The sequence below is a fragment of the Homo sapiens genome, chromosome 11 (genome assembly GCF_000001405.40).
Source record: "Homo sapiens chromosome 11, GRCh38.p14 Primary Assembly".
Classification (NCBI taxonomy): domain Eukaryota; kingdom Metazoa; phylum Chordata; class Mammalia; order Primates; family Hominidae; genus Homo; species Homo sapiens.
Window position 1 is genome coordinate 47,537,570 of NC_000011.10, and position 26,710 is coordinate 47,564,279.

Below are 26,710 nucleotides of genomic sequence, written 5' to 3' on the forward strand. Positions count from 1 at the left end.
TGTCTTTTGATGGAAAGCTGCTTACATTTTTTTTCCAGATAACTCCTTGGAGCTTTTAAAGTACTCCATCTTCAGAAGACAATGACTTAAATTCACAGAATTAAAATGTTAAGTCTTTTTCCTATTACTAATCCTTAATACTGAACTGTTCCAAAACATAAAATTAAAGTGCCATTTGACTAGACATGGAGTAGTCAACAAATAATTACCAGATATCTACTTTATGCAAGGCCCCAGTACTTATGTAACACTATAGACTGTAAAATTTCCTCTATGCACAGCACTGGGTTTAGTACGATACACACAACACATAAAGGCATAATCATTTTGTTTTCTTTTTTTTCTTTTCTTTTTTTTTTTTTAAAGAAAGGTGTTTCACTTTTTCACCCAGGCTGGCTGGAGTACATTGGCACAATGATAGCTTTCTGTAACCTCCTGGGCTCAAGGAGTTGAGTCCTGCCTCAGCCTCCCAAATAGCTAGGACTACAGGTGTGCACCACCATGCCTGGCTAAATAATTTTATTTGTAGAGACAGAGTCCCTGTATTTGCCCAAGCTGGTCTCAAACTCCTGGCCTCAAGCAATCCTCTTGCCTCAGCCTCCTAAAGTGCTGGTAATGCAGGCATGAGCTACCATGCCTGGCCCATAATATTGTTTAGATATATTTGCAATCATCATTTGATCTCTGATATCAAATAATATCTTCTAGCTTTTTCTATCCTACATTATCTATATATGGAAGACAGAATCTTGATGTTGGCTGTGTACCAGGTTGTATATAAATCTCCATTTTGGCTGGGCGTGGTGGCTCACGCCTCTAATCCCAGCACTTTGGGAGGCCCAGGCGGGCAGATCACGAGGTCAGTAGATCAAGACCATCCTGGCCAACACGGTGAAACCCCGTCTCTACTAAAAATACAAAAAATTAGCCAGGCATGGTGGTGGGCACCTGTACTCCCAGCTACTCGGGAGGCTGAGGCAGGAGAATGGCGTGAACCCGGGAGACAGAGCTTGCAGTGAGCCGAGATCGCGCCACTGCACTCCAGCCTGGGCAAAAGAGCAAGACTCCGTCTCAAAAAAAAAAAAAAAAAAAATCTCCATTTCAAAACTAGCTTGTCTCTTTTTAATTCCTGCTCATTAGTATTACAGGGAATGTTTACATTTCTCTGGAATAAAGTCTTTCAACCTAACAAACCAAAATATCACAGGAAAAAAACAAAATCACGTTAGAAGCGCTAAACTGTCTTTCTCAGAGCTTCCCCCTCTCCCTTATTAACATTTCTCAAAGAGAAAAACACCACTGTGATGCTCCTCTCACAGATCATTCATGAAGTTACTGAGCTGGGACCAGAGAGACTCCATCAACTGGGCACACAGCCATTCACCATTACCCTTTGTTTAAAGTCTCAACAGCCATTCAACCCACATTATTGTGTTCCACTCAAGCCCATCAACATTTTTTTAAGAGGAAACAATCAGGAAACTAAAACAAACGCCACTTAACTAGAAATGAAGAAAAGACTGAATCCATATGCCTCACAAACAAAAATTCTCTAAAACTGATGGCTCACTTTAAGTTTCCTATCTGAAATAGCAGTATTATTTTTAACAGGCTCATATTCCTAAAAAAATTAAAAACAAATAATTATAAAAAACTTGTTAAAAAAATAAACTCATAATCTTGATCTGGCAAAGCATTCTAAACACCAAATGCAAATATATATACTGAAGGAGTCAAGACCTCCAGCGGCCTTTTGCCTGGGGCTAAGGAGGGTATGGGGGAAAAAGCACTCTTCCCAACAGCTGGGTGTGGTGGCTCAAGCCTGTAATCCCGGCACTTTGGGAGGCCGATGCGGACAGAACACCTGAGGTCGGGAGTTCGAGACCAGTCACGGCTAACATGGTGAAACCCTGTTTCTACTAAAAATACAAAAAATCAGCCAGGCATGAATGGTGGCACACACCTGTAATCCCAGCTACTCTTCCAAAGAGCCATGATCCCTGACAAGATGATTCTAAATTTCAAATTTTACAAGTGCTGTGCAGAGCTCTGTACTAAGTCTAACTCAAAGTTATTTCGGCTGAAAATAACAGAAAGCTTACATAAAAACTAGAGTTAACTGAAAGGGTACTAGACCACTCCAAGAACTCCAAACAGGCCCACACCTGGAAAGTCTTTAGGCATCCAGATTTTTGCTCTGCATGTGGATGGCTGCCCTCTCTCCAGAGCTGCATTTCTCATCTATGCTTCTTTCCAGATGAAATCTACTTACTTCTCCCTCCCTACGGAATGACCTTCACTGCTTCCACCTGTACGAGCCTGAACTTGGCTGCATACCAGCATCTGATTTTATGTCCTGAGTTCTCTGAATGTAGGTGACTATTTGTATCTTAAAGACTTGAATCTCAGTTCTAATCTCAAATTCCTAGGACAAAGTGATTTGCCCAGCTTGGGCCAGGTGTCCACCTCTGGTGCAATAAGATATTACAAGAGGGGCTAAATCACAAGGTATAATTAGAGTAGGGACTATATGCCTGAACCACTCCCCTAAAGTATATGCAATACACTAAGCAGTAAGGCAGTTTCCATCCTCAAAAAGCTTAAAATCTTGCTGAAATAATAAAATACTAAATCAGGTACAGGAATGAATGGACAGGAAAAGCCTCATGAAAAAGATTAGCTGTGCACTAAATGACAAATACTGAATCATGAGCATGGAGGGGCTGAAGAGCATTCCTAAACACGAAATGTGATGTCTGCTCCTCTTGCTCTAGCCATCTAGGAAATACAGACCTAAGGGATAAATAATCTTTTACCACATAAACAGCTTCCAGTAAAATATCCTTGTTGAAAGCCTGCTATAAAATGACTTTGAACACAAAGCAGTGCTGCTTCATCATGCAGTAATCACCCACTAGCTGACAAATGTCAAACAGTTATGCATTTTCAAGCTGTCATCACCACCCTGACTTCCTTTCACTCCTCGGCCCCCACGAGACTCTTGCTCAGAGAGCACTCAAAATCAGGCAAGCAGGCTGGGCGCGGTGGCTCACGCCTGTAATCCCAGCACTTTGGGGAGGCCGAGGTGGGTGGATCACGAGGTCAGGAGTTCAAGACCACCCTGGCCAAGATGGTGAAACCCCGTCTCTACTAAAAATACAAAAATTACCCGGGCATGGTGGTGGGCACCTGTAATCACAGCTACTTGGGAGGCTGAGGCAGGGAGAATGGCTTGAAACCAGGAGGTGGAGGCTGCAGTGAGCCGAGATCGCGCCACTGGACTCCAGCCTGGGCGACAGAGAGAGACTCCATCTCAAACAACAACAACAACAACAACAAAACAAAAAACAGGCAAGCAGCCAGTAAATGGCACAGGTGTTTCTCACTGAGAATATCCCACCCGATCTAGCATGGTAAGTTAGCAGCAGCAACACCCAGACAGAATTCATCCAGGAAAGAAACACTAGCTGAGCTATGTGACTGCAGTGTGAGGGAAAGCGGCTGGAGCTGAAAAGTAGAATGTTTCCCATACACAAAAGCTAGAAGTACAAAGCAACTGGAAAAAGCGTACAGCAAATTATCTGTACAAAACAGAAATTAACAAAAACTTAACAGATGTCCAAATAATACTGGGTTAAAAAAGACAATCTACTCACAGTAGACTATTAGTCACCTCACATTATCACCAATATCATACATATTCACACAGTCTGCAAGAGCTTACTCAATCTCACAGGAAACAAAAAGGTAAAAGAACAAGGAGAAAGTGGTGACAGTTTCTAACTTAATGATTATTTTGCTAAAGAGTAGCAATGTTACTATGAAAATGGAAACTACTTGGCCAGGTGTGGAGGCTCACACTTGTAATCCCAGCACTTTGGGAGGCCAAGGCGGGTGGATCTCCTGAGGTCAGGAGTTTGAGACCAGCCTGGCCAACATGGTGAAACCCCGTCTCTACTTAAAACACAAAATTAGCTGGGTGTGGTGGCGCATGCCTATAATCCCAGCAACTTGGGAGGCTGAGGCAGGAGAATCGCTTGAACCCAGGAGGCAGAGGTTGCAGCGAGCCAAGATCTCACCACTGTACTCCAGAGCCTGGTGACAGGGCGAGACTGTCAAAGAAAGAAAGAAAGAAAGAAAGAAAGAAAGAAAGAAAGAACGAAAGAAAGAACGAAAGAAAGAAAGAACGAAAGAAAGAACGAAAGAAAGAACGAAAGAAAGAACGAAAGAAAGAAAGAAAGAAAGAAAGAAAGAAAGAAAGAAAGAAAATGGAAACTACTGACCCTTCGAAATTAAAAGTATAACAGTACAAAATTACACAGCCCAGGAATCAAAAAACTTCATTTTGCATAATCCCCAAACTAAAGACATTCCCCCCCAAAACACAGTTTTAATGGAGTTATAACTTAGAAAGAAAGTAAAATTATTCAACTCCATTTTGTCAAAGCTGAATGTAGCTATAAAAAGAAGACCTGGAGGTCATAAAGTTAGTGGAGAGTTCTTTCTAAAGCCGTACTGGGCTGGGCGCGGTGGCGTGCGTCTGTAATTTCAGCACTTCGGGAGGCCGAGGCAGGTGGATCACCTGAGGTCAGGAGTTCGAGACCAGCCTAGCCAACATGGTGAAACCCCATCTCTACTAAAAATACAAAAATTAGCCAGGCATGCTGGCAGGTGCCTATAATCCCAGCTACTCGAGGTTGAGGCAGAAGAATCGCTTCAACCCGGGAGGCGAAGGCTGCAGTGAGCTGAGATCGCACCACTGCACTCCACCCTGGGCAACAAGAGTGAAACTCTGTCTCAAATAAATAAAGCCGTATCTGCACCCATGAACATATCTAAAAGTGGCACATCAAATTTGATTAAGTGAGATCCATTAGGTATCAATGCAATCACTAAAAAAACCTCATCATTCTTGATACTTTCTCCATTTTTTTTTTTTTTTTTTTTTGAGACAGGGTCTCCCTGTTGCCCAGGCTGGAGTGTAGTGGCGTGATCTCAGTTCACTGCAACCTTCACCTCCTGGGTTCAAGCCATTCTTGTGCCTCAGCCACTTGAGGAGCTGGGATTACAGACACGCACCACCACATCTGGCTAAGTCTTGTATTTTCAGTAGAGACAGTGTTTCACCATGTTGGCCAGGCTGGTCTCAAACTTCTGGCCTCACGTGATCCGCGTGTCTTGGCCTCCCAAAGTGCTGGGATTAAAGGCGTGAGCCACCGTGCTCAGCTTTACAACATATCAACAGGGCTGGACTGTGCTCATCTTTAGAAAATATCAACAGGGCTGGGTGCGGCAGCTCACACCTGTAATCCCAACACTTTGGGAGGCCAAGGCAGGAGGATCACTTGAGGACAGGTGTTCAAGACTAGGAGAGATCCCGTCTCTACAAATACTACAAAAATTAGCCAGGTGTAGCAGTGTGCACCTGTAGTCCCAGCTACTCGGAAAGCTGAGGCTGGAGGATCGCTTGAGCCCAAGAGTTCCAGGCTATAATTGCACCACTGCACTCAAGTCTGGGCAACAAAGAGAGATCCTGTCTCTAATGGAAAAGAAGGCCAGCATGGTAGCTCATGCCTGTAATCCCAGCACTTTGGGAGGCCGAGGCAGGAGGATTGCTAGAGACCAGGGGGTCAAGACCAGCCTGGGAAACATAGTGGGACCCCATCTCTACAAAAAATAAAATTAGCCAAGCGTGGTGTTGCGCACCTATAGTCCCGGCTACTTGGGAGGCTGAGGTGGGGAAGAATCACTTGAGGCCTGGGAGGTTGAGGCTACAGTGAGCCACGATAACGCCACTGCACTCCAGCCTGAGTGACACAATGAGACCTTGTCTCGGAAAACAACAGCCCAAAAAAGCCCCAAACTTTACAAATCTGGAACTTAATGAAGTGTAAAATAAACAAATATGTACTCATGGCCTCCACAGCACAGCAGAGGTTAAAAAATAACTATAGAATTCTATAAAGAAACCTCTACTTTAAGAAGATTCTAAGCCAATTCTATGACAAGACCAAAGTTATTTTACAAAGGTCTCATCAAGGAAACTGTCTTCAAGGCAGTCATGATGTTGCCCTCCTGTAATCAATCCCAACTACTCAGGAGGCTGAGACAGGAGGACTGCTTGAGCTCAAGAGTTTGCACCAGTTTGGGCTACATAGCGGACCCGTGGACCCCTGTCCCCACCCCGTCTCTAAAAAAAAAAGAAAGCTGTTTTCGGCAAATAAGGACTCTTGATACAATATAGTTTACAAAGCAAATAGCTAAAACTGATTAAGTCTTAAATCTGCATTACAACTCTAAATATTAGAGCCCTCCTCCCCGCCTCAACTTGTCACTTGAAACTACGAAGAGACCCAAGTGTCCCCTATTACAAATCCAAAATATTCATTTATAATTTTCAGTTTTCTTTGAACACAGAAGCCTCCTAACAGTAGACTCTCAAAGTAGAAATAGTGAATATGAAATCTAGGAAACCATATTACCCAAGTATTCCACAAGGAACAACGTCCTGTTTAGCACAGCATTTCAGACACACAAATCTTATCCCTTAAGCCACAACAGACACAAGAAAATGCAAAACAAAATGCACTCATAAAAGGGAACAAAAGGAACACTGACATAGTAGCTACTGCTCATCTATGTATGGCACTCCTAGGCAGTTCACCTGTGTTATTTATTTCATTTGGCTGAAATGCATTACTGACCCAAGAGACTAGTGGTATGCCCATTTTACACATGGAAAAAGAAACAGCATTATCAATACTGTATCAGGCACTGTTCAGTGCCTAGCATAAGTTACCTCAATTAATCCTCACATTACTATTCTGAGTTGGTATCTCCACTTTAAAGACAGGAAAACAGGGCCAGAAATGTTAACTGGTGGTACCCCAAATCCACTGTCCCAAGCTGTCACAGCTATCCTTACCAGGCTGTGTTTATAAAGCCCATTCAAGTCACATCATTCTTTCAAACCATTTCAAGGATTCCACAATCAAAAAATCAACTCTCAATTACAGAAAGACTTAATTCTCCAGATTTTCATCAAAATTTTCTTATTTCTATTTTATTTGCCTTTTGACCATTTCAGTGTACTGTAATTCTAGTATACGTGTTCTGGTAACTATAGGATTATATTAATAGCAATCAACTTTGGGAGGCTGAGGCGGGCAGTTCACCTGAGGTCAGGAGTTTGAGACCAGCCTGACCAACATGGAGAAACCCCATCTCTACTAAAAATACAAAATTAGCCAGGTATGGTGGCACATGCCTATAATCCCAGCTACTCGGAAGGCTGAGGAAGGAAAATCACTTGAGCCCAGGAGGTGGAGGTTGCAGTGAGCTGAGATGGTGCCACTGCACTCCAGCCTGGGTAACAACAGTGACACTCACTCTCAAAAAAATAAAAATAAAAAAATCAAGAATCAAAGAATAGGCCAGACATGGTGGCTCATGCCTGTAATCACAACACTTTGGGAGGCCCAGACAGGCGGATAACTTGAGATCAGGAGTTCAAGATCAGCCTGGCCAAGCCTGGCCAACATGGCGAAACCCCATCTCTAATAAAAATACAAAAATTAAGACCGGGTGGAGTGGTTCATGCCTGTAATCCCAGCACTTTGGGAAGCCGAGGTGGGCGGATCACCTGAGGTCGGGAATTCGAGACCAGCCTGACCAACATGAAGAAACCCCATCTCTACTAAAAATACAAAAATTAGCCGGGCATGGTGGCGGGCACCTATAATCCCAGCTGCTTGAGAGGCTGAGGCACGAGAATTGCTTGAACCCCTCCCAGCAGAGGTTGCAGTGAGCCGAGATTGAACCACTGTACGCTAGCCTGGGCGACAGAGCGGGACTCTGTCTCAAAAGAACAAATAAATACTGACCTTCATTCAGAACCATAAAGTCTCCAATACTCATTATTAAGAGGTTAATAACAAGAGTTATTAAGAGGTTATTAAGAGGTTAATAAGGAACATATTGTTAATAACAAGGAGCATTAAGAGGTTAATAACAAGGAGTGAATCTGAAGTCTTACAGCATAAAGTTTGCCTAGCTGCCAGAGACCTTATTTCTATTTCTTCTTTTTTTAGTAGAAAAGTTTTACAAAATTTGTAGGAAAATACAATAATTTTTGTATTTTTTGTAGAGATGAGGTCTAGCTATGTTGCCCAGGCTGGTCTCAAGCTCCTGAGCTCAAGCAATCTGCCCGCCTCAGTCTTCCAAAGTGCTGGGATTACAGGCATGCACCACCATGCCCAGCCCCTCTCTCTCATATGTATACGTGTGTGTGTGTGTGTCTGCGTGTGTGTGTGTGTGTGTGTGTGTGTGTGTGTGTGTATATATATATTTTTTTTTTTTTGAGATGGAGTCTCCCACTCTCACCCAGGCTGGAGTGCAGTGGTGCCATCTCAGCTCACTGCAAGCTCCGCCTCCCGGGTTCACGCCATTCTCCTGCCTCAGCCTCCCAAGTAGCTGCGACTACAGGTGCCTGCCACCATGCCCAGCTAATTTTTTGTATTTTTAGTAGAGACGGGGTTTCACCGTGTTAGCCAGGATGGTCTCGATCTCCTGACCTTGTGATCTGCCTGCCTCGGCCTCCCTACATCTTTTTAAGGGAGAAAAATAGGAGAAAGGCCTTTCATGCAATTGACAGATACTCTCAGTATCTTTTTTTTTTTTTTTTTGGGCGGGGGCCGGGGGCGGGGGCGGGGGAGGGAATGGAGTTTTGCTCTTGTAGCCCAGGCTGGAGTGCAGTGGCTTGATCTTGGCTCACTGCAACCTCTGTCTCCCTAGTTCAAGCGATTCTCCTGCCTCAGCCTCCTAAGTAGCTGGGATTACAGGCATGCGCCACCACACCTGGCTAATTGTGTATTTTTGGCAGAGACGGGGTTTCTCAGATGATCCGCCCACCCTGGCCTCCCAAAGTGCTGGGATTACAGGTATGAGCCACCACGCCGGGCCAACTTTCTTCACACTAGAACAAACTGAGAGACCTATGAGTATCTTTGAAATGTTCATACCTGAAAGTATTATTCTAACTAGGCCATTAATGACAGATTTACAAATTTATCTGTGCACAACATAAGATACCTAGAAATTGGTCCACCTAAGAAAGCCATTCATATATTATAGGTATAAAGCAAAGGCAGGAACTTGTCAATTCTTATCCTCTTCATGTGATACTTTTTCAGCACACATTTTTTGAAAACGCTGTGCCAGGCACAGTGGCTCACACCTGTAATTGCAGAACTTTGGGAGGCTGAGGTGGGTGAATCACCTGAGGTCAGGAGTTCAAGACCAGCTTGACCAACCTGGAGAAACCTCCGTCTCTACTAAAAATACAAAAAATTAGCTGGGGGTCATGGCATATGCCTGTAATCCCAGCTATTTGGGAGGCTGAGGCAGGAGAATCACTTGAACCCGGGAGGCAGAGGTTGTGGTGAGCCAAGATCATGCCATTACTTTAGTCTGGGCAACAAAAGCGAAACTCCACCTCAAAAAAAAAAAAAAAAAAAAAAAAAAAAGAAAGAAAGAAAATGCTGTATATTCAAAGATAGGAAAATCTGACTAGATTAGAAATTTAAAATGCTATAAACAGTGATTTGGATTATCGTTATAGACCACTTTATACATGCTGACATATTTGTATTTTCAAGAAGTTTGAATATGTCAGTGGACGTCTCTCTGTGATTGGCAATCCATATGAAGAGCATGAATTGTAATCAATTGAACCTTTATAGAACTCCAAGAGAGGAGAAGATAGCAAAATAAAGGAGACATTCCTGACCTCAAGAAGTAAAGGAACACAGCCATAAAAGGAAATTAGGGCTGGGCACGGTGGTTCATGCCCGTAATCCCAGCACTTTGGGAGGCCGAGGCGGGCAGATCACCTGAGGTCAGGAGTTTGAGACCAGCCTGGCCAAAATGGTGAAACCCCATCTCTACTAAAAATACAAAATTAGCCAGGCTAGGTGGCTCATGCCTGTAGTCCCAGCTACTCAGGAGGCTGAGGCAGCTTGAACCCGGGAGGCGGAGGTTACAGTGAGCCGAGATCGCGCCACTGCACTCCAGTCTAGGCGACAAGAGCGAAACTCCATCTCAAAAAAAAAAAAAAGAAAAAAAAAAGGAAATTAGGTCCTGATACATGCTACAAAATGATGCAGGGACCCTGAAAACAACACGCTAAGTGAAATAAGCCAGACACAAAAAGCCAAGTATTACATGATTCCAGTTACATGAAATATCTAGAATAAGAAAATTCACAGAAACAAAGATAGATTAGAGGCTACCAGAGGCTGGGGGGAGGGGAAAATTGAGAGTTATTGCTTAATGGTTACAGAGGTTCTGTATGCGGTGATGAAAACATTTTGGAAAGATCACAGTGATGATTGCACAACACCTCAATGTAACTAATGTCACTGAATTATACACTTAAAAATGGTTAAAACGGGCCGGGCACGGTGGCTCAAGCCTGTAATCCCAACACTTTGGGAGGCTGAGGCAGGTGGATCACGAGGTCTGGAGTTCAAGACCAGCCTGGCCAAGATGGTGAAACCCCGTCTCTACTAAAAATACAAAAATTAGCCAGGCACAGTGGCAGGAACCTGTAATCCCAGCTACTCGGGAGGCTGAGGTAGGAGAATCGCTTGAACCAGGGCGACAGAGATTGCAGTGAGCCAAGATCGAGTCACTGCACTCTAGGCTGGGTGACAGAGTGAGACTCCGTCTCAAAAAAAAAGGTTAAAACAACCTAAATGTAAGACCTAAAACTATAAAACTCCTAGAAGAAAATATAGAGGAAAAACTTCATGATATTGGATTTGACAATGATTTCATGGATATGACACCAAGTGCGCAGGCAACAAAACCAGAAATAAACAAATGGGACTATATCGAACATGAAATATTTTGTGTATCAAAGCATACAATCGACAAAGTGAAAGACAAATTACAGAATGGGAGAAAATATCTGCAAATCATCTATCTAATAAGGGGTTAATATCCAGAAAATAGAGGCTGGGTGCGGTGGCTCACATCTGTAATCCCAGTACTTTGGGAGGTCGAGGCGGGCGGATCACCTGAGGTTGGGAGTTCGAGACCAGCCTGGCCAACATGGTGAAACTCCCTCTCTACTAAAAATACAAAAATTAGCCGGGCGTGGTAGCGCATGACTGTAGTCCCAGCTACTCAGGAGGCCAAGGCAGGAGAATGGCTTGAACCCAGTGGGCGGAAGTTGCAGTGAGCAGAGATCACACCACTGCACTCCAGCCTGGGCAACAGAGCAAGACTCCATCTCAAAAAAAAAAAAAAAAAAAATCCAGAAAATATAAAGAACTTCTATAATTCAACAATACAAAATCAAAAAACTTGATTAAAAACTGGGAAATGGCCTTGAACAGACATTTCTCCAAAGATAATATATAAATGGCCAACAAGCATATGAAAAGATGCTCAACATCACTAGTCAGCAGAGAAATACAAATCAAAACTACCACAGTGAGGTATCTCACACCCATTAAGATGGCCATGAAAAAATAAAAAGTATTGTCAAGGATGTAGAGAAACTGGAACCCTTGTGTACTACTGGCAAGACTGTAAAATGGTGCAACTGCTATAGAAAAAAGTATAGGGGTTCTTCAAAAAACAAACAAACAAATAAAAAAACACTATTCCAGTGGCCTAGATTCTTTCAAAATAATAAAAATTAAAAACAGAATTATCACTTGATCCAGCAATCCCACTTTGGGGTATATATCCAAAACAACTGATATTGTTCCAGAGGCTGGAATACCTATTTGCACACCTAGTCACATTAGCACTATTCACAATAGCCAAGAGGTAGCTGCAACCCAAAAGTCCATTAGTGGATGCAGTCCATAAACAATATGATATATATATATACACAATGGAGTATTAGCCTTAAAAAGGAAATAAATCCGGTCACACAGTACAACATGGATGAGTCTTGAGGACATTACACTAAGTGAAATAAGTCTGTCACAAAAAACAGACATGGTATGATTCCACTTACATGATGTTATCTAAAGTAGTCAAATTGGTAGAAACAGAAATAATGGTGGTTACCAGGGGCTAGTAGGAGGGGGAAAAGGGGAGCTGTTGTCCAACAGGCATAGAGTTTCAGATACGCAAGATGAAAAACTCACAGATCTGTTTTCCAACAGTGCGAATGTACTTAATGTCACAGAACACTTAAAAATGGCTAAGTTAGTAAATGTTGTGGGTTTTTTTTGTTTTTTTTTTTTCTGAGACAGAGTCTTGCCTTGTTGCCCAGGCTGGAGTGCAGTGGTGCAATCTCAGCTCACTGCAACCTCCACCTCCTGGGCTCAAGGGATTCTCCTGCCTCAGCCTCCCAAGTAGCTGGGACTACAGGCACATGCCACCACACCTGGTTAATTTCTGTATTTTTAGTGGAGATGGGGTTTGACCATATTGGCCAGGCTGGTCTCGAACTCCTGACCTCGTGATCCGCCCACCTCAGCCTCCCAAAGTGCTGGGATTACAGGTGTGAGCCACTGCGCCCAGCCAATTTTGTGTTTTTAACCACAATTTTAAAATGTAGGCCAGGCTCAGTGGCTCACATCTGTAATCCGAAGTTCAAAACCAGCCTGGGCAAAACAGTGACACCCTGTCTCTACAAAAACAAACAAACAAAAAAAAACACCGGGTACGGTGGCTTACACCTATAATCCTAGTACTTTGGGAGGCTGAGGTGGGCAGATCACCTGAGGTCAGGAGTTCTAGATCGGCCTGGCCAACATGGTGAAACCCCATCTCTACTAAAAATACAAAAACCCTCTGGGCGCAGTGGTGGGCGCCTGTAATCACAGCTACTCGGGAGGCTGAGGCAGGAGAACTGCTTGAGCCCGGGGGACAGGGTGTGCAGTGAGCACTCCAGTATGGTTGACAGAGCAAGACTCCATGGCGGGGTTGGGGGGGACCGGACCCACATCACAAAACTGTGACTAAGATAAGCCTATTTTGGGAAGATAGGCATTTCTATAGCATATGAAAAGGATGGGCAAGATAAAGACCCAATATTTAACAATCATCTCTGAGTGGTGGCACTATGGGTGAGTTTCTTCATTTTTTGACTTACCTGTTTTTTTTTTATAGTGAATCTGTAACTTCTGTATTAAGAAAAATACACGGAAGTCTTTAGAAAAAAATCATTTTGGCTAAAAACTTCACTGTCTGCCTATTACATCATGGGTATTTCACCATGTTACTGAAGCTGAACTAATACCATGTGAGACAGATGCTGTTTCTTTCATTTTGCAGGTGCGAATAAACTGAGGAGCAGAACAGTTGAGTGACTTGCCAAGGTTGTGTAACCAGTAAATGACAGAGCAAGCATTACAATCCAGGCCTAGTTCTAACTTCAATTCAGGGTCCTTTCCCATTTCATTACACCTCAAAGGGAAGATTGCATTATTACTCGTGATATTGTTTAAAAAAAAAAAAAACATAACCTTGGGCAAGTAAGTCACTTAATTTCTAGGGCCCTCAGTTTCCTCATCCAAAAAGTGAAGGGGTTCTAGAAAAGATATTCCATCTCTAACAGCCCCTCTTGCTACCAGATCTTAAGTCTAGATAGCACAATCTCTAAAGAAAACCCTGGGTTTTCTTTAAAGGGGTCAGAATGAATGGTTGAATAGAAGTTGAGGCCTGTGATCTGGGCCAAAGGCCATTCTTAATGGAAACAGGTGGTGGACTGTCATGAGGAAAGAACCACTAGGGGAACCATAACCTTCCTGGTTAAAGCAACAACTGAAAGCTCCAGCTTTGCTTTACCAACAGTGCTGCTTCAATCTTGGCTAACTCATGATCAGAAACCACATACTAGGTAAGTAAAGCCTGAAGAATATAAAAATTAACATGAGAAGAAAATCACTGTAGCAACAGTTTGTGCATGCTATTGTAATTCCATGATTTTCTAAGTGGACTCTTTAATGCTAAAACAGAAAGGGTGATTCTATATTGAGACGCCTTCATTCTCACCAAGGATTAATAGAGAGGCTGAAACTTCCAAAGCGCTTGGAGAGAAGCTACACTTGTGGGCAAGGGGAAAGCATCCAATTAAAGCCTTCCCAATTCATGGGTAATCAAAGACAGTGAAAAGAACTTTAAAAGGTGAAGTTCCGGGCGGGGGCGGTGGCTCACGCCTGTAATCCCCAGCACTCTGGGAGGTCGAGGCGGGTGGATCACCCGAGGTCAGGAGTTCGAGACCATCCAGCCTGATCAACATGGTGAAACCCCGTCTATACTAAAAATACGAAAATTAGCCAGGCCTGGTGGCACATGCCTGTAATCCCAGCTACTTGGGAGGCTGAGGCAGGAGAATTGCTTGAACCTGGGGAGGTTGCAGTGAGCCGAGATAGCGCCACTGCACTCCAGCCTAAGCAACAAGAGCGAAACTCCGTCTTAAAAAAAAAAAAAAAAAAGATGAAGTTCTTGTAAAAGATTCATTATTTGTAACCTCTTACACTGCACACATTATAAAGCATTTCATGCTCTTTAAAACTGTTATACAGCCTTTTTACTCGAAGGTAATAAACCTACAGCTCTCTCCTGGCGAGAAAGAGATTCCATTTTGCGGAAACAGATTCCAGTCAAAATCTTACCACATTCCCCTCAACTATGGGTATGAGCCTAAACCAATGAGAAGCTCCTTGGTGCATGTGTAATGGTCTCCAAGAATTACAACAACATCCTACCCGGAGGACCACAACCACGACACCACTGGCTTTAAAATCAAAGCCTGGTCCCTAGCGAAGAAAGCGCTTTAATGTGCTCCTCCCGCTCCCGGGTGCGAGATTCCTGCCCAGCTACTAGGCCACGACTGGGTGAGCACCTGATGTGGGGGGAGGGCGAGCCAAGGCCGTAGCGGATCTGGGGCGAGGAACGAGGGGCTCTCGAGGCTCGGGAAAAGCGCTGCCTTCTAGGGGCGCGGACCCTTCGGCACCCACAGGAGTGGACACTAAGAACACGTGAGACGACAGGGGCAGAGATGGGGTGTCCCGGGCAGGTAGCCTGGGTCCAGCACGGCAGCCAGAAAGACGAGGAAAACGGAGCTGGCCCTGGGCAGGGCACGAGGCCTCTGAGCCTAGAGAGTGAAGGTAAAGGGCGCGGGGAGAGGAAGCAAAGCCACGAGGAGGGCGGGTCTCCCTGGGCGCGGGGGCACGCGCTGGGCAAACGCGACAGGACCCGGGGAGCCGGGGACCCCGACATGCAGGAGGAGATCGCAGCCCTACCCCAGGACGCAGGGAACGAGAAAAGGCCGCGCCCGGAGGGCCCTGTGACCCGCGGCCTCCCTAACCGGACCCGCCCCGCGGCGCCTCCCTCTTGCCTTTTTTCCCCTCCCTCCCTCCCGCGGCCCGTTATCCTGCGGCCGCAGCACTCACCAGCGGCTGCACCTGAGCCTGCCGCTGCCTCAGTTGCTGCCTGCGCCTCCGCAGCCGCCGCCGCCGCCTCGCTGCTGAGGCCGAATCCCGGGGGAGCCTCCGCGTCCCGCCGCCGCTGCCGCTGCCGCCAGAGCAGAACACCCCAAAATGGCGGCACTTCCGGCACCTACCACCGGCGGGGAGGGCAGAGGAGGAGGGGGAGCGCGGCGAGGGGGAACGTATCACCGCGGCGCCGCCCGCAGCGCCGATGCGAGCGGAGCGCGGCGTAGGGGCGGGCCGAGCGCCGGGCGCTGCAGCGCCCCCTCGGGCTGGGAAGTGGAGGAGCAGCCGCACCTAAGCCCCTGGGGCCGCGGGCGGAGCCCTCAACCTAGGGAGCTGCAGGGGCGCATCTCTTTGTCTCCGATCCCTACTGGAGGGAAGAGCCAGGCCTGGGAATCTGAAGTTCTCGACTCCGCCCATCGCACCCACAGGAGCTCTAGATGACCCTGGTGGGCAAGGAGGCACCCCTACTGGGCACTGAATAGGAGCATAATAAGATATTTGTTGAATAAATGGATGAGTGAGTGACTGGTGCTTGGCCAGCGTTGGGCACATGGCACGCCCCTTTTTGCCCCAGCAGACAAGCAACAGCATCCAGGCCTTCCTTCTTTGCTGGGATGTGAATATGTGTGTTCCAAGTGCAGGGAGTGCTTTTTAGCAAGATAATCAGTGTGAACGCACAACCTGGCAACGATCGCTGCGACATAAGGAAGTTCACAAAGATTCTATTAAGAGACCGATTGCCCAGCCATAACCTGCTTTTACCGAAAAAAAAATATATATATATATTTTTTTTTCTTAACTCAGGTTAGGTCTCTAAAGACTTCCTCCTGAGTTACTCTGGAATCCCTGGGTCTAGATGGAACGCAAGCAGTACAATTTGTTGTTGTTGTTGTTGTTGTTTAAGCCAACATTTATTCCTAGGTTCCAGACCTTGTGAGGCAGTTAAATGCAGATTAAGAAAGAAAACTTTGTTCTGGAAGCTTTTGGCCCCATCAACATGCAAATAACTCATGGGATGGTTTCTCTCTAACATCATCTGGCTTCCCAGAGAATATAATTTTTATACCCACAAATACTGATTATATCCTACCTTACCACAAACAACAAGTGGGCTTCCAAGCAGAAGCCTCAAGGGTTTTCCTCTTTCGCCTTTGGGGGGGAAAAAAACTAACCAGAGTTTTTCTGGTACCATATAGTCCTTAAATTGTACATGATCATATTCCCTAATTGTACTGGGTAGTTTTATATACATTCATAATGCTGATATATGATCTTGTTCTTGTTAATAGTTTTATGTGTAGTTGACTGAAAACATCCTATATTTATAGACCATTATAGCTTACAGAATGTTGTCACAAATATTACCATATATTTGCTGCTATAGGTTGTAGAAATGTTTCAAGCAGAGAGTCTGTCTCCTTTTGTGCTCCATAGAATCATGTGGATATCCACATGGCTCACTTCCTCACCTCCTTCAGACTTTGACTTAAGTGTCACCTTCTCAGTCCAGTCTTCCCTAAGCACTCTATTTTACACTGCTTGCATGCATGGCATGTGCACACACACACACACCCATGCTTTCAATCCCACTTTCATTTTTATCCAAAACATTTATCATTATCTAACACAGTTTTTTTTTTTTTTTGAGACGGAGTCTAGCTCTTGTCACCCAGGCTGGAGTGCAGTGGCGCGATCTCGGCTCACTGCAACCTCCACCTCCCAGGTTCAAGCAATTCTCCTGCCTCAGCCTCCCGAGTAGCTGGGATTACAGGCGCGTGCCACGATGCCTGACTAATTTTTGTATTTTTAGTGGAGACGGGGTTTCAACCCCTGTTGGTCAGGCTGGTCTCAAACTCCTGACTGCAAGTGTTCTGCCCGCCTCTGCCTCTCAAAGTGCTGGGATTACAGGCGTGAGCCACTGCACCCGGCCTCACAGTATATTTTGTATTTATATATTTTACTTGTTTTATTGACAGTAGCCCAGAAGGTAAACCAAAGGTAAACTTCATGAGGATAGAGGTTTTGTCTGTTTTATTTCACTGCTCTATCCTCAGGGCCTTGATAATGCCTAATCCATAGTACATGCTCAATAAATATTGTTGACTTACTGAATAGGTATATCTAGGTGCCAGATATGGAAAACAAAATGTTGCGCCTTTAGAAGCTTCTTGGAACCTGCCCATGAGCTAAATAAGGAAAGGCACCATGCCCGTCTTATTATATCTCCAGTGCTTTTCACAATATCTGACTCAATAGATATTTCTTGAAGAGCAAACAGAAACTCTTCCATGCCCATCTTGTTATTCTCCTAATATCTCCATTGCTTTTCACTGTATCTAACTCGATAAACTTCTTGAAGAGCAACCAGAAGCTTTTTCCTATTCTATCTGTGCCTTGACTTAGGGCTCCCATTTGCAAGGGAGGAACTTGTAAGGTATTAATATCACTCTTGCATTTAGTTACCAAGGAAGGCCACAGACTGTTAGCCCAAGGTTGGGGGGAAGAACAATTACATGAAGAACACAAATAGATCTTGTAACTTCAAAGGGTTTCAGCAACATAGACAAAATGCTAAACAGTCCAAATACAAAAAAAGCCTAGTGTGAGATTTAAGAGTATGTAAAGCTTCCTGTTTCATGTTTTGCCTTACAAATAGATTAAGATTTATTTTTTTTAAAAAATAGCCAATGTCGGCCAGGCGCGGTAGCTCATGCCTGTAATCCTAGCACTTTGGGAGGCCGAGGCAGATGGATCACCTGAGGTCAGGAGTTCAAGACCAACCTGGTGAAACCCTGTTTCTACTAAAAAATACAAACGTTAGCCAGGCATGATGGCGGGTGCCTGTAATCCCAGCTACTCGGGAGGCTGAGATGGCAGAATAGCTTGAACTTGGGAGACGGTGGTTGCAGTGAGTCGAGATCGAACCACTGCACTCCAGCCTGGGCGACACAGCAAGACTCTGTCTCAAAAAAAAAAAAAAAAAAAAGCCAGTGTTAGTAAGAGTGCAGAGAAATAGCCTTCTCCAAGTGGTGATGGGAGTAAAGTTCAGATAATCTGCCTAGAGGAATCTAAACTTTTACATACCTTTCTAGGAATTTATCCTAAGGGAATATTCATGGATAATGGCAGAGATTGTAACATTTTTTATTTTTTTAATTTTACTTTTCTAGACACAGGGTCTTGCTCTGTCACCCAGCCTGGAGTGTAGTAGTGCTATCATAGTTCACAGCAACCTTGAACTCCTGGGTTCATGAGATCCTTCCACCAGAACCTTGTGAGTAGCTGAGATCACAGGTGTGTGCCACCATGTCCAACTAATTTTTTTTCTTTTGTAGAGACAGGGGTCTCACTATGTTGCCCAGGCTGATCTCAAACTCCTGAGCTCAAGCAACCCTCCCCACTCGGCCTTCCGAAGTTTTGGGATTACAGGTGCGAGCCATGACACCTGACCATAACATTGTTTAAACAGCATAAAATTTGATACAAAATGAGATTGATAAATTATGGTTCATTCATAGCCATATAATAATAGATAAATATAGAGGAAATGATGATAGCCAGGCATGATGGCATACTCCCATAATCCCAGCTACCCTGGAGGCCAAGGCAGGAGGACTGTTTGAGGCCAGGAATTCAAAACCAGCCCAGGCAACATAACAAGACACCATCTCCATATAAATAAAAAATTTAAAAATGTTAGCCTGGCATGGTGGCATGTACATCTGCAGTTCCAACTACTTAAGAAGCTGAGGTAGGAGGATCCCTTCAGCCCAGGAGTTCCAGGTTGCAGTGAGCTATGATCACGACACTGCACTCCAGCCTAGGCATCAGAGTAAGACCCTGTCTCTATTTGGTTATTTATTTATTTATTTATTATTTATTTTGAGACGGAGTCTTGCTCTGTTGCCCATGCTGGAGTACAGTGGCACCATCTTGGCTCACTGCAATGTCTGCCTCTCAGATTCAAGCGATTCTGCTGCCTCAGCCTCCTGAGTAGCTGGGATTACAGGTGCACACCACCACGCCCAGCTAATTTTTGTATTTTTAGTAGAGTCGGGGTTTCCCCATGTTGGTCAGGTTGGCCTTGAACTCCTTACCTCAAGTGATCCGCCCGCCTCAGCCTCGCAAAGTGCCGGGAGCCACCACGCCCGGCCTATTTACTTTTCTTTCTTGGTTTTGTTTGTTTTGTTTTGTTTTTTTTTTGAGGCAGAGTCTGGCTCTGTGGCCCAGGCTGGAGTCCAGTGGCACAATCTCAGCTCACTGCAACCTCCCCCTCCCGGGTTCAAGCGATTCTCCTGCCTCAGCCTCCCGGGTAGCTGGGACTACAGGCACATGCCACCACATCCGGCTAATTTTTTGTATTTTTAGTAGAGACGGGTTTCACCGTGTTAGCCAGGGTACTCTCGATCTCCTGACCTCATGATCCACCCGCCTTGGCCTCCCAAAGTGCTTCAATTACAGGGGTGAGCCATCACGCCCGGCCTATTTTTCTTTTTTTTTTGAGACGGAGTCTCGCTCCGTTGCCCAGGCTGGAGTGCAGTGACTTTTCACAGGCATGATTCCACTACAGATCAGCATGGGAGTTTTGACCTGTTTCTTTTCCAGCCTGAGCCGGTTCACCACTCCTTAGGCAACCTGGTGGTCCCCCACTCTCTGGAGGTCACGATGTTGATGCAGAACTTAGTGCAGACACCTGATTGACATACTGCACTATAGCCCAGAACTTCTGGACTCAAGTGATCCCCCTGCCTCAGCCTCCAGAGTAGTTGGGACTTACAGGCACATGCCACCTCGCCCTGCCCTTGTCTCTAAAAGAAAAAAAGAAAACTCTTTTTTTTTGAGATGGAGTTTTGCTCTTGTTGCCCAGGCTGGAGTGCAATGATGCAATATCGGCTCACTACAACCTCCGCCTCCTGGGTTCAAGAGATTCTCCTGCCTCATCCTCCCGAGTAACTGGAATTACCTGTACCTGCCAGCATGCCCAACTAATTTTTTGTATTTTTAGTAGAGACAGGGTTTCACCATGTTGGCCAGACTGGTCTTGAACTCCTAACCTCAGGTGATCTGCCCGCCTCAGCCTCCGAAAGTGTTGGGATTATAGGCGTGAGCCACCGCGCATGGCCGGAAAGAAAACTCTTAAGGCCTGGTTACATTCAGGCGGTGCTGCGAGCGTCACACTGCATCACATCTGGAGGCCTATAGCCTATGATGTCAAGTTGTCTGTCCTGCTTTTACTGACACAGACTCATCAGTGGTTGAGGTGGCCCGAGCCTGATCCCTCTATGGTCAAATTTCCTATGAGTGTTTTATATATATAATCAGAAAATCTGCATTTTGGTAAAATAATGGATCTAGTCAATAGCCATCAATGGATAAAAGCATTAGATGAAACCCTCATATATATATTATATATATATATAATATATTAGATGAAACCCTCATATATATATTATATATTTAATATATTATATTATATAAATAATATATGTATATGTATATATTTATATATTTATATTATATATATTTATATATAATATATAAATATATATATATATTTATATTATATATGTATAAAATATGTGCAATATAATATATAATATAATGTGTAATATATTAGATATAATATATTACATAATATAATATGTAATATATTATATATAATATATGTCATAATATATAATATTATGACATATATTATATATAATTGTATATATAATATATATAATATATATAATTGTATATATAATATATATATAATATATATTGCAGCCAATAATATATATATTGCAGCCAATATATATTGCAGCCAATAATATATATATACAATATAATATAATGTATATATAATATATAATTGTAGTCCCAGCTACAATATATAACACATAATATATTGTATATAATGCGGTATGTAATATATTACATATAATATGTAATATATTATATATGTTATATATAGTAATATATGTTATACATAATATATGTTATATATAATATATAATATGTTACATATAATAATATAATATGTTATATATAATAATATAATATATAATAATATAATATATATTATATATGTATTTTTTGAGACGGAGTCTTGCTCTGTCTCCCAGGCTGGAGTGCAGTGGCGCAATCTCAGCTCACCACAACCTCCGTCTCCCGGATTCAAGCAATTCTCCTACCTCAGCCTCCTGAGTAGCTGGGACTACAGGCACGCAGACTACAGATGGGGTTTCACCATGTTGGCCAGGATGGTTTCCATCTCCAGATCTTGTGATCTGCCCGCCTCAGGCTTCCAAAGTGCTGGGATTATAGGCATGAGCCACTTCGCCTGGCCTTTTTTTTTTTTGTGAGACAAGGTCTCACTCTGTGGCCAGGCTGGAATGCAGTGGCACAGCTTGCTCACTTTAGCCTTGATTTCTTAGGCTCAGGTGATCCTACCATCTCAGCCTCCCAAGTAGCTGGGACTACAGGCACGTGCCACCATGCCCAGGTAATTTTTTATAGAGCTGGGGTCTCACTCTGTTGCCCAGGCTGATCTTAAACTCCTGGGCTCAAGCGATCATCCCACCTCAGGTAGATGTGAACCATGGCACCCGGCCTATGTAACTTTTTGAAAAGAATAAAGTAAATCTACCTCTATTGCACCGACAATATAATATTCACAGATATCACTGAGTGAAAAAAGCAGAGGCCGGGCGCAGTGGCCCATGCCTGTAATCCTAGCACTTTGGGAGGCTGCGGCGGGCAGATCACCTGAGGTCAGGAGTTCGAGACCAGCCTGGCCAACGTGGTGAAACCCCATCTCTACTAAAAATATAAAAATTAGCCAGGCATTTTGGTGCATGCCTATAATCCCAGCTGCTCAGGAGGCTGAGCCAGGAGAATCGCTTGAACCCAAGAGGCAGAAGTTGCAGTGAGGAGAGATCATGCCACTGTATTCCACCCTTGGTGACAGAGCAAGACTCTATCTCAAAAAAAAAAAAAAAAAGCCAGACGTTGTGGCTCACACTTGTAATCCCAGCACTTTGGGAGGCTGAGTCAGGCAGATTGCTAGAGCTCAGGAGTTCAAGAGCAGCCTGGGCAACATGGCAAAACCCCATCTGTACAAACATTAGCTGGGCGTGGTGGTGCACGCCTGTAATCCCAGCTACTGGGGAGGCTGAGGTGGGAGGATCACTTGAGCCTGGGAGGTCAAGGCTGCACTGAGCCAAGATCACACCACTGCTCTCAGCCTGGGTGATGGGAGTGAGACCGTCTCAATAAAAAAAAGAACAGAAAAGGCCAGAGGCATGAGAATCGCCTGAACCCAGGAGGTGGAGGTTTTAGTGAGTGGAGGATGCGCCACTGCACTCCAGCCTGGGTGACAGAGTGAGACTGTCTCAAAAACAAAAAACAAAACATTTCATCTATATGGTTATAATGATCTTTATCAATATGTGTACATGAATATACAAAGACCACATGTTGTATGAATCCATGTATATGAAATGTTTGGAATAGGCAGATCCACTGAGACAGAAAGTCGATTCGTGGTTGTCAGGGAATGAGGGAATGGGGAGTGATTGCTAATGGGTATAGGATTTCTTTTTGGGATGATGAAATGCTCTAAAATTAGATATTGGTGATAGTTGTGCAACCCTGTGAGTATATTAACAAACACTGAATTGTATAGTTAGGAGGGTGACAAGGCATATGCATTATACCTCAATAAAGCTGTTCCCAAAAATAATGTTAACATTGGAGGGGGGTGGGCATAATGGACTCTCAGTACTATTTTTAAAACCTTTCTGTGCATCTAAATTATTCCACATTTAAAAGTTTATTCTGGCTGGGCGCAGTGGCTCACGCCTGTAAGCCCAGCACTTTGGGAGTCCGAGGCGGACAGATCACGAGGTCAGGAGATCGAGACCATCCTGGCTAATATGGTGAAACCCCGTCTCTACTAAAAATACAAAAAATTAGCCGGGCGTGGTGGTGGGCGCCTGTAGTCCCAGCTACTTGAGAGGCAGAGGCAGGAGAATGGCATGAGCCCGGGAGGCAGAGCTTGTATTGAGTGGAGATCATGCCACTGCACTCTAGCCTGGGCAACAGAGTGAGACTCTGTCTCAAAAAAAAAAAAAAAAAGTGTATTTCGCTGGGTGAGGTGGCTCAGGCCTGTAATCCCAGCATTTTGGGAGGCCGAGACAGGTGGATCACGAGGTCAGGAGATTGAGACCATCCTGGCTAACACGGAGAAACCCATCTCTACTAAAAATACAAAAAATAAGCCGGGTGTGGTAGCGGGCGCCTGTAGTCCCAGCTACTTGGGAGGCTGAGGCAGGAGAATGGCATGAACCCAGGAGGCGGAGCTTGCAGTGAGCCGAGATCGCACCACTGCACTCCAGCCTGGGCGACAGAACGAGACTCCGTCTCAAAAAAAAAAAAAAAAAAAAAAAGTTTATTCCACAAAGAGACACCACACCCACTAAAATGGCTATAATGAAAGACAGATAATAAGTGTTGGCAACCATGTGGCAACATTGGAACCCTCCATACTCTCCTGGTGGGGATGCAAAAAGGTGCAGTCCACTTTGGAAAACTGACAGTTCTTCAAAAGGTTAAACACTGTACTACCCTATGACCTAACAATTCCATGATTAGTCAAATATACAAGAGAAATGAAAACCTATGTCCGTAAGTTGTATGCAAATGTTCCCAGCAGCATTGTTCAAAATAGCCAAAAGTGGAAACAACTCAAATGTTCATAAACTGATAAATGGAGAAAAACATGTGGTCTGTCCATACATTGAAATATTATTTGGCAATAAAAAGAAGGACAGTCCTGATACTTGCTACAACATGGACGAACCTTGAAAACATTCTAAGCATAAGACAGGTATCAACACACAAGTGATATCTATTAAGAAAAAAAAAAAGCTGGGCGCAGTGGCTCACACCTGTAATCCCAGCACTTTGGGAGGCCGAGGCAGGCTGATCACCTGAGGTCGGGAGTTCGAGACCAGGCTAACCAACATGGAGAAACCCCGTCTCTACTAAAAATACAAAATTAGCCAGGAGTGGTGGTGCATACCTGTAATCCCAGATACTAGGGAGGCTGAGGCAGGAGAATTGCTTGAACCTGAGAGGCGGAGGTTGTGGTGAGCTGAGATTGTGCCATTGCACTCCAGCCTGGGTAACAAGAGCGAAACTCCATCTCAAAAAAAAAAAAAAAAAAGTTGGGTGGGGTGGCTCACACCTGTAATGCCAGCACTTAGAGAGGCTGAGGCAGGCAGATCGCTTGAGTCCAGGAGTTCGAGACCAACCTGGGCAATATGGTGAAAGCCTGTCTCTACCAAAAATACAAAAATTCGCCACCAGGTGTGGTGGTACGCACCTGTGGTCCCAGCTACTCAGGAGGCTGAGGTGGGAGAATTGCTTGAGCCCAGGAGGTAGAGGTTGCAGTGAGCTAAGATCACACCATTGCACTCCAGCCTGGGCAACAGGAGTGAAACTCTATCTCAAAAAAAAAAAAAAAAAAAAGCAGCCAGATACAAAGAACACATATTGTATGACTCCATTTATTTGAAATACCCTAGGCTGGATGCAGTGGTTCAGACCTGTAATCCCAGTACTTTGGGAGGCCAAATCAGGAGGATTGTTTGAGCCCAGGAGTTCCAGATCAGTTTTTTTTTGTTTTGTTTTGTTTTTTTTTTGATATGGAGTCTCACTCTGTCACCCAGGCTGAAGTGCAGTGGCGCGATCTTGGCTTATCACAAACTCCGCCTCCTGGGTTCAAGTGATTCTCCTGCCTCAGCCTCCCAAGTAGCTGGGATTACAGGCGCCCACTATTATACCTGGCTAATTTTTGTATTTTTTTAGTAGAGACGGGGTTTCACCATGTTGGCCAGGCTGGTCTCAAACTCCTGACCTCAGGTGATCTGCCTGCCTCTGCCTCCGCCTCCCAAAGTGCTGGGATTACAGGTGTGAGCCACTGTGCCCAGTCCCGAGATCAGTTTGGGCAACATAGTGAGACCCCATCGCTACAAATAATAAAAAATTAGCCAGGTATCGTGGCACACGTCTGTAGTCTCAACTCCTTGGGAGGCTGAGGTAGGAGGACTGCTTGCACCCAAAAGGTCGGGGCTACAGTGAGTCATGATCACGCTGCCACTGCACTCTAGCCTGGGTGACAGTGAGACCCTGTTTCCTAGAAAAAAAAAAAAGAAAAGTAAAAAGAAGAAATGCCCTCAACATGCTAAACATGTAAATCTATACAGTCAGAAAGCAGGTTAGTAGTGTTTGCCTAAGGCTGGAGGATGATTGGGAGAAAATGGTGAGTCTCTGCTAATTCATAAGGGGCTTATTTTGAGGGCAATGAAAATATTCTAAAATTAGGCTGGGTGCGGTGGCTCATGCCTGTAATCCCAGCACTTTGGGAGACCAAGGCGGGTGGAACACCTGAGGTCAGGAGTTCAAGAGCAGCCCGGCCAACATGGTGAAACCCCATCTCTATTAAAAACACACACAAAATTAGCCAGGCATGGTGGCGGGCACCTGTAGTTCTAGCTACTGGGGAGGATGAGGCAGGAGAACTGCTTGAACCCGGGAGGTGGAGGTTGCAGTGAGTGGAGATGGCGCCACTACACTTCAGCCTAGTCAATAGAAGGAGACTCCGTCTCAAAAACAAAATATAAAAAAAAGAAAATGAATCTTTTAAAACCACCAGATGGGCCGGGCATGGTGGCTTATGCCTGTAATCCCGGCACTTTGGAAGGCCGAGGGGGACGGATCTCCTCAGGTCAGGACTTTGAGACCAGTCTGGCCAACATGGTGAAACCCTGTCTCTACTAAAAATACAAAACTTAGCTGGGCGTGGTGGCAGCTACTCGGGAGGCTGAGGCAGGAGAATTGCTTGAACCTGGGAGGCAGAGGTTGCAGTGAGCTGAGATCACGCCATTGCACTCCAGCTTGGGTGACAAGAGTGAAACTCTATCTTAAAAACAAACAAACAAACAAAATCTCCACCAGATGCTTGGGCCGGGCGTGTGGCTCATGCCTGTAATCCCAACACTTTGGGAGGCTGAGGCTGGCAGATCACCATAGGTCAGGAGTTCAAGACTAGCCTGGCCAACATGGTGAAACCCCATCTCTACTAAAAATACAAAAAAAAAAAAAAAAAAAAAAAGAAAGCCGGGCGCGGTGGCTCATGCCTGTAATCCTGGCACTTTGGGAGGCCAGGGGGATGGATCACCTGAGGTCAGGAGTTTGAG

General features: G+C 44.6%; 1 protein-coding gene and 1 pseudogene across 81 annotated transcripts in view, besides 6 other annotated features; both read right to left on the minus strand.

The window, feature by feature from the left end:
- CELF1 (CUGBP Elav-like family member 1) overlaps window positions 1-26,710 on the minus strand; it is a 99,603-nt gene that overhangs the window by 71,633 nt on the left and 1,260 nt on the right. For 72 of the 81 annotated variants that reach the window (NM_001376452.1, NM_001376450.1, NM_001376447.1 and 69 more), the window contains exon 1: window positions 15,423-15,563. The exons of the other annotated variants lie outside the window; for them this stretch is intronic. The gene's annotated coding sequence lies outside the window, so the exon portion shown is untranslated. Of the gene's footprint in view, window positions 1-15,422; window positions 15,564-26,710 lie in introns of those variants that run through there. 81 annotated transcript variants of the gene reach the window in all.
- Window positions 4,598-5,097: an enhancer, noted in NCBI's record as "H3K4me1 hESC enhancer chr11:47563719-47564218 (GRCh37/hg19 assembly coordinates)". NCBI's record gives its function as "activates a minimal SCP1, AML or CMV promoter by ChIP-STARR-seq in naive H9 embryonic stem cells {active_cell/tissue: H9 hESC(naive)}" and the evidence as "EXISTENCE:reporter gene assay evidence [ECO:0000049][PMID:30033119]".
- Window positions 13,775-14,450: an enhancer, noted in NCBI's record as "H3K27ac hESC enhancer chr11:47572896-47573571 (GRCh37/hg19 assembly coordinates)". NCBI's record gives its function as "activates a minimal SCP1, AML or CMV promoter by ChIP-STARR-seq in naive H9 embryonic stem cells {active_cell/tissue: H9 hESC(naive)}" and the evidence as "EXISTENCE:reporter gene assay evidence [ECO:0000049][PMID:30033119]".
- Window positions 15,126-15,801: an enhancer, noted in NCBI's record as "NANOG-H3K27ac-H3K4me1 hESC enhancer chr11:47574247-47574922 (GRCh37/hg19 assembly coordinates)". NCBI's record gives its function as "activates a minimal SCP1, AML or CMV promoter by ChIP-STARR-seq in naive H9 embryonic stem cells {active_cell/tissue: H9 hESC(naive)}" and the evidence as "EXISTENCE:reporter gene assay evidence [ECO:0000049][PMID:30033119]".
- Window positions 15,126-15,838: a biological region, named in NCBI's record as "NANOG-H3K27ac-H3K4me1 hESC enhancer GRCh37_chr11:47574247-47574922".
- Window positions 15,149-15,238: a silencer, noted in NCBI's record as "silent region_3332". NCBI's record gives its function as "represses an Ori minimal core promoter by ATAC-STARR-seq in GM12878 lymphoblastoid cells {active_cell/tissue: GM12878}" and the evidence as "EXISTENCE:reporter gene assay evidence [ECO:0000049][PMID:35858748]".
- Window positions 15,309-15,838: a silencer, noted in NCBI's record as "silent region_3333". NCBI's record gives its function as "represses an Ori minimal core promoter by ATAC-STARR-seq in GM12878 lymphoblastoid cells {active_cell/tissue: GM12878}" and the evidence as "EXISTENCE:reporter gene assay evidence [ECO:0000049][PMID:35858748]".
- RN7SL652P (RNA, 7SL, cytoplasmic 652, pseudogene) lies at window positions 19,965-20,264 on the minus strand (annotated as a pseudogene).